Genomic DNA, 7,983 nt, shown 5'->3' with positions numbered 1-7,983 from the left:
TACCCAGTCTTGAGTATTTCTTGTGAGAACAGACTAGTATAGTACCACATTAAGTTCAATCAGTTTCTGATACTTCAAGGTAGTAACCAGCTGGAATTTTTATAAGATTTAATACAGGAGTCTTAATGGAACAGACTACAGTTCCTAATGCTGCCACTTTGTCCAAGACCATTAGAGATATTTATCGTCTCTTGTCTCAATTGTTCATTCTAGATTTTCTCCCTTTTTTCAGCCATAATTTTAGCTTGTCTAAACTGCTTACCTGGTGTGATGACCAAGAGCTTAATCTCTGAAAGGTCAGTTAAATTACTCGAAGTTTCTTCTGTGATTACCAACTATCTACTTCTGGATAACAAGGCACTAAAAAGTTTAGTGGCTTAAAACAACATATTATTTATTATTTATTATGGTTTCCTGTGTTGACTAGACTTAGCTGGGTTGTTGCTTGGGATCTCTCCTATGGTTGCAGTCTGTTAGAAATAGATATTGCAGTCATGAGAAGGCTCAAATGACCTGAATGCCTAAGTTCCAGTTCACTGCAGGCTGGTGACTGGAGTATCTACACATTGCCTGTCCATGTCTTAGGCTTCTCATGTATGGCAGTTGAGTTCCAAGAATAAGTTTATAGAGAGACAGGAAGTATAAATGTTATGTTATGGGATCTTTGGGGTGTCAGTTTTTCTGGCTGGAAACCTCTATGGCTAGTGGTGCCTTTGCCTGACTTCTTGTTCTATGTCCAGAAAGAATGAGGTATGCAGACAAGTGAAGGATCAACAAGACAAAGAGGAGCTTCATTAAGTGTTAGAACAGTTCAGAGGAGACCTGCAGAGGGTAGCTCCTCCCTGTTACTACCAATGTCTGCTGCTCTCAGCAGAGTGGAGGCCCTGGAGAGGGTAGCCCCTCTCTGCAGCTGGTAGCTCTGATGCCTCTGCTGGTCTCTGAAGCTCTCAGTTCAGAAGGCAGTTCCTCTCTGCTATCAGCTATCTCTATTCTCTCCACTCTCTGTCCTGCTCTGGCTGAGCCCAGGGCTTTTATTGACCTCAGAGGGGAGGAAGTATGTGCTGACTGCATGGGCAGCCATGGGAGGGCCCAGGAAAAAGCACCATAAGTTCCCCATCTCATCAGCAGGACTGGCATCCTGGCCCCCAGCTTCAGGCCTGTTCTGGCCTGAAGGTGGGGCTTCACTGGGGATTCACCCCCTTCCTCCCAGGAGCCTGTCTGCCTCCCACGTCATCCATGGAGCCCAGGCTGCTGGTACCTGCAGGCCATCACCCAACCACCCCCAACCCCACCTCAATGTCCCCTCCCACACTTCTTGGTGCCTCAAGTCTGCAGGGGGCCAAGGCAGCAGGGGGCTGACATGTCAGTGCTGCCCCAAATGTGGGCACACCTGGCTGGGCTATGACAGTGCCCAAGCTCAGCCCCAATCCTGCTCCAATATTGGAGTTAATGCTGGGAGTTGGGAGAGGCTAGGCAGTGGGAGCAGGCACCTCTAATCCTGCAAGGGCAAGGGGGCCCTTCCCAGGATCCCCAAGAGTGCAGGAATGCCTGGGTCTGCAGCTCTGGTTTGGGAGGCTGCAGCTGGCTGGGGGGCAGGGCTTCTGCCTGCTCTTGTAGTGGGAGGCCCAGATCCACAGTCACAACGTGGGTGGCTGCAGCCCCACCCTCCTGGCAACTCCAGGTCAGGCCTGGACTGACATCCGGGGCAGGCGCCACGTTGCTGTGAGCTGCCCCTGTGGCCTCAGCACGCAACCTGGCCCAACCCCATCATGGCGGCTCCCAGGGTGGTGGGCTGCAGGCAGCGAGGGCTGTCCAACTCCTTCCTGTGCCCTCCCTGAGGTGGCCAGCGTGATGGCAGTGGTTGCGCCAGATGGCCCACTGTTGCCATCAGAAGCTGCCAGTTTCTTAAGGCCAGGACCTGGCATAGTGTGACTTGCATTATATTTTATTAGTTAAAAGCAATTACAGATCCTGCTCAGATTTAAGATGGGCATAAGATTCATTTTCAATGGAAAGATTGAACTTTTCATAAAATAACCTATGTTTGCAACTAAGTAGTTTTCTTAGTGTCCTTCCTGTTTAGATATCTGGAGAGAGCTTTTTCTTTAATTTTGTCCCATTTCTCTCTCTTTCAGTCCAAGCTGATAATCATTCCTTTAACGTTTTCGTGGACTTTCTGTGCATTAAATTATAATCCACTTTTTTAAACCAGTGGTTCTAAAATGTAGATTATTTTGTCCTACAGGCATTTAGATGGCCTGGAAACAATTTTGACTGTCAAGAATTGGGTGAAGAGGCCAGGTGTGGTAGCTCACACCTGTAATCCCAGCACTTTGGGAGGCTGAGGCAGGTGGATCACCTGAGTTCAGGAGTTCAAGACCGAGCCTGGCTAACATGGCAAAACCCCGTCTCTACTAAAAATACAAAAATTATCCTGGCATGGTTGTGGGTACCTGTAATCCCAGCTACTCGGGAGGCTGAGGCAGGAGAATCGCTTGAACCCAGGAGGCACAGGTTACAGTGAGCCAAGATTGCACCATGCTGCACTCCAGCCTGGATGACAGAGCGAGACTCCATCTGAAAAAAAAAAAAAAAAAGAAAAAAGAATTGGGTGAAGAGCGTCCTACTGGCATCTAATGGGTAGAGCCCACAAATATTGCTAAACATTCTACAAGGTACAGAACAACACAAAAGACTCCCTCATCCCAACAAAAAATTATCTGACCCAAAATGTCTATAGTGCCAAGGTTGAAAAGTCCTGCTTTAGATAACAGCCATACCCGTAAGTCTATTTGAGACAGTCCCTTCATTACCTTTGGTTCCCTATGATAATGTCCTCAATATTATTAGAAGACTTAATGTGTCACAGAGAGGGTATACAAGGACCTTTATCTGTTTGAAGTTATCTTTCAGATACCACTTTAGCTCTTTCTTCAGTTTATCAAGGATCTTATACTTCCACACAATTTGATCCTTGTTTTGAAAAGATTTATACTATGACATTCTCTTTCTGGAGAGATTGGAGATTTTAAAAAACGGTCTTATTTTTGGTCCCAGAAAGCTTGACCTTTTATGTTTCATTTAAATTTTGATTTAAAAAATGGAAGTATTTCCCCTTTATTTCATTTATCTCTTCTTATATTTTATCATAGGCAGCTAAAATCAGCCAGATGAAGCTTGAAATTCTGCCTTCAAATCTCCCTAACTATTAACTGGGTACTCCCTAACTATTTACTGGGTACTCCCTAACTATTTACTGTTACTGGGTACTCTTTCTATTTTTCTTATTGCCAAAGGTGACAGTGTTGCCAGATTTTCTGCCACTACATAAAAAGTGCCTCTTTTCACTATGTTATGGACTGTTATGGACTGAATGTATGTATCCTCCACAAATTCATATGTAAAAGCCTTAACCTCCAATGTGACTATCTTTGGAGGTGGGGCCTTTGAGAAGTAATAACATTTAGATGAGCTGATGGGGGTGGAGCCATCATGATGAGATTAGTTCCCTTATAAGAAGAGGAAGAAAGACGGATTTCTCTACAAGTACACACATTGAGGAAAGGCCATGTGAGCGATACCAACAAAGTTGGTCCCCCTTAAAATGGGGTCTTTCCCTGTCCAGTGCTACGAAGTCAATATGCAAAACCAAAAGTGAGCGTCTAGAAGTGCAGGTATAGGGCATATTTAATGAAAGGGTTGGGCATTAAAAACGAGGAGAGGAATATTCATGTATTTTCTGGGAGTGGGTAGAGAACTTCTTGGAACGGGAGTTGCCACCTTCCTTTTTGTCATTTTATGGTTTATTCTGGTCATTGTCATAGTGATTGTCAATGGTCATGGTGCTTGTGGGAGTGTCACTGAGCATGGAAATTAGATTATAATGAAGTTAGAAGCTCTTCAGAGGTCAGGTGACCTGCCATTTTAGATCCCACCAGTCTTAGCTGGTTTAATCACAAGGGGAAACTTCTGACTTTAGTCCTGTTTCCTAAAGATAAGCAGAGTTAAGGTGGATAGAAATTGACCTAGGTCTTGAAGGCATTACACTAGGTACCATAAGGACACAGGGAGAAGGTGGTCATTTGCAATCCAGAAAGAGGGCCCTCATCAAGAATCAAATCTGCTGGCACCTTGATCTCAGGCTTCCAACCTTCAGAACTGTGAGAAGTGTCTGTGGCTAAGCACCTAATCTTTGGTATTTTGATATAACAGTCTGGGCTGAGCAGGACAGCCTCTAATAATATCCTCACTGTCTTCAAGCCCTCTCCAACAGCCTCCTTGAGGTCTTCCAGGTTTCACTATCAGTCTCCTGCAAACTCTTCCAGCATCTGCCCATTGCTTAAACCCAAAGCCAATTGTCATTAATTTTTAGATTTTGTTTTTTCTAGGAGTAAAATTTACTTTGCTCTTGTTAGGCTGTCATAGCTGTAATTATTCCTTCATCATTGTCACCAGGCATGTGAGCACCAACATTTTAGTTTATGTTTCCCTAAACTAATGCCTGAGAAAAAGACTTAAGTGAAGTTCATCTGTTTGAAATAATATTCTAAGAAACAGGGTTAAGGGAAGGGAGTAGTGAAACAAGGAAGGAGGAAAGGTAATGAGGTCACTGCTTGGAGCTTTAGTCTGCTAGGATTTTTGAAGCACATATAATGCCACCCAGAATTATCCCCTGGAAAGACAGTATGCACTTGAGTTGAGAAGCTGTATCTGTGAGGTGTCCCTTTATGTGAAATGTGCTTTTCAGATGTTCTGAAATTAGATCTGCAGCAAGGGGCTGTGGCACAGAGGAGCATTGAAAATATCTTCTACACCAAAACTCATTATTTATAGGCTATTTTTTTTTCTGGAAGCTCTTAATATTTTATCTTCATTCTAGATATTTTAGATTACATTATTACGTGTCTAGGTGTAGGTCTTTTTAATTTCATTCTGCTTGGCACTTAGTGACCCTTTAAATATAAAGTCTCATAGCTGTTTTTAACTCTAGGAATTTAGAACTCATACATAATTTCTGCTTCTCCATTTTCTTTGTTCTTTCTTTGGAACCTCCTATTTATTAGGAATCAAAATCTGCTATATTCTATTTCTTTGTCTTTTTGCTATGTACTCTAGGACATTTCTTTATCAGGAAACCTTTCTGCTGAGTTTTCAATTTCAGAAATCATATTTTGAATTTCAAAAACTCATTTTAGATATTTGTTTTTCGTGGCATTCTATTCTTTTGCATGGATATATTATCTTGTCAAGTGGAACAGAAGAGAACTGAAGATATACATCTTTTATTTCTTAAAAATCTTCACACAAAGACAAGTTTCAAGGGGAATAAGCCAAATAATTGATCCTGGAGAAAGCAAAAATAACAAGGAAAGACCTTGTTATTTATGTTTTATTATGTATTATTATTATTTATTATTTATGTATTATGTTTTATTTCCTTATTAATTGAGTTTTCTCTAGGATCAGTTATTTGTCTTATTCTTCTTGATACTTTTTATTACACAATGATTTTCCCAAATGTCTCATGATAATTGGATTTCCATTCATCTTTATGAATAAAAAAGTGTTGATTCACTTAAATTGCAGGGATAAGTGTCACTGCTGCTATTTAGATATGTTTGTATATCAAACTAACAAGCATTTCTTTTTTTATCTAAGAGGGAAGTATATGTGTGTGTTGTGTATTGTTTGTGTTTGTGTGTGATGTTACTGGTAATCAGCAGGTTTCATTTGAATGTATATAGATGGTACATAGATGAGAAGCACGCAGACAGTCTGCCCATGGGATACCCTGGAGAAAATCAAGGTAACTTTAGATGGAAAATCTAGCACTTGGAACATTTGCTATTCCCAAGCAGTTGATTCAATTTCTTTAGGAAACAGTTCTTTGGTTTATGCTCAGGGAACATGCAAGACCTGTCAGACATCATTCACATGGCAATGGGAGTCTGTTGGGAGGAGCCAAGATACCGTGATGTGGACAGTTTTAAAATAATTTCCTTTGATTGCTTCTCTTTAGTTATTGCTTACTCTCTGGGCCTGCTAGTTCTTAGCATCGGCCTCCTCTAGATTCTCTAGAAAGAGCAGTTTCCACCAATGCTGACGTCTGTTCCTATTCAGCTTCTGACCTATGTCTTCATCTGCCTGCATAGTTTATGTGCCTTTATAACTCCTTCTACTTTTAGCTATGAAAGAGCCATCAGAATATTTGGTCCAGGGATGGGCTCTCTGCTCCAAAACGTACTTTGGTTATAAATTTATCTCATATTATATGTCTTTACCCTAAGTTAAATAAAACTGAGAGACATTGAAGAGGTAACTACATCTTTTCAGTCTGCCATTTTAAACTGGCAGCAACAAATATTTTCTTAATTTATTTAATAAAGTTTTATGTCTTCTTAACAATGTAAAAGTTAAGTAAAAAGTATTTTATATTTTTTAAAAACACAAAGATTTTCTTTTATATAGAACTTAACTTTTAATAGACTTTTAAAAACTTTTATTTAGGCTCAGAGGTACATGTGAAGACTTGTTACATAAGCTACAAAAGTGAGTTTGATATCCTGAAAACATATAGCTAAGACCCAGACTGGGATTAGATACCTCACTGTGCTTAGCCCTAAACCCAGATAGTTAAATTAACAAAACTACTCGCCAGAGTACTACAAACAACAGCTTAAAACTCAAAGGACTTGGCAGTGCTTTATATCCCTCTAGAGGAGCCTGTTGTATAATCGGTAAACTCCGATATACCTCGCCATCTCTCGCCACTCAGCCTATATACCACCATCTTCAGCAAACCCTAAAAAGGCCTTAGAGTAAGCACAAGTATGTACATAAAAACATTAGGTCAAGGTGTTGCCTATGAAATGGTAAGAAATGAGCTACATTTTCTATTTCCCGAAAATTTTACAATAACCATAATGAAACCTAAAGATTCAAAGAGGATTTAGCGGTAAATGAAGAACAGAGTGCTTCATTGAATGAGGCCGTGAAGCATGCACACACCACCCATCGCCCTCTCAAATACTTGTCTAGAGACCACTATTACCAATAATTTTCCTACATATGTATAGAGGAGATAAGTTGTAACATGGTAAGCGTACTGGAAAGTGCTCTTGGACTAACCAAAGTGTAGCTTAACTTAAAGCACCCGGCTTACACCCGGAAGATTTCATATCACCTGACCACTTTGAGGCAACTCTAGCCCCAACTTTATTAAACTGTATTACCAGATCTCCTTAAACCAAATCACTTACCCGGGACAAAAGTACAGGTGATAGTAGTTACTCTGGTGCAAAAGCTATAGTACCACAAGGGAAAGATGAAATAATCACACCAAGCATCAAAAAGCAAAGACAAACGCTTGCACCTTTGCATAATGAATTAACCAGAACAGACTTCACAGAGAGAACGCTAGCCAGGATCCCCAAAACCAGACGAGCTACTCAAGAATAGCTAAATGAGCACACTAATCTATGTAGCAAAATAGTGAGAGGATTCATGAGTAGTGGTGATAAACCTGTCGAGGCTGGGGATAGCTGGTTGTCCAAGACAGAATTTTAGTTCAACTTACTTCAGGGACCCAAAGTGAAAAGGAGACATTTCTAGTTTTATTATTAAGATCATTATTATTATCAAGGTTGATAGTTGATTGATTGAGTTTATGATGGTTCATTGTCCAGAGAATAGCATATTGGAAATGATTCCTATTATGAGAATTATAGATGCAGTTGCTTGTGTGAGGAAATATTTGGTAGCTTCTTCTGTGGAGTGGATTTTCTTTTTAAGTTAAAATTGGGATAGTGGCTAGTATGTTTATTTCTAGGCCTATTCAGATGAGACGTCAGTGTGAGCTTAATATTGTAATGAGATTTCCCGTAAAGATAGTGAAAGAGATAATAAGTTGGGTTAGAGGGTTAATTAGTACTGAAAGGATAAAAAGCAACATTTTCGGGGTAGGGGCCCAATAGCTTGTTTAGC

The 7,983-nt window shown here is 40.7% G+C and overlaps 1 pseudogene, besides 1 other annotated feature; it reads right to left on the bottom strand.

Moving 5' to 3' along the window:
• Positions 1,480-2,162: an enhancer, noted in NCBI's record as "H3K27ac-H3K4me1 hESC enhancer chr3:106626782-106627464 (GRCh37/hg19 assembly coordinates)". NCBI's record gives its function as "activates a minimal SCP1, AML or CMV promoter by ChIP-STARR-seq in naive H9 embryonic stem cells {active_cell/tissue: H9 hESC(naive)}" and the evidence as "EXISTENCE:reporter gene assay evidence [ECO:0000049][PMID:30033119]".
• MTND2P14 (MT-ND2 pseudogene 14) lies at positions 7,574-7,924 on the bottom strand (annotated as a pseudogene).

This window comes from Homo sapiens, chromosome 3 (genome assembly GCF_000001405.40).
Source record: "Homo sapiens chromosome 3, GRCh38.p14 Primary Assembly".
Taxonomy (NCBI): domain Eukaryota; kingdom Metazoa; phylum Chordata; class Mammalia; order Primates; family Hominidae; genus Homo; species Homo sapiens.
The sequence above is the reverse complement of the archived record's forward strand: the minus strand, read 5'-3'. Positions and strand labels throughout refer to the sequence as shown.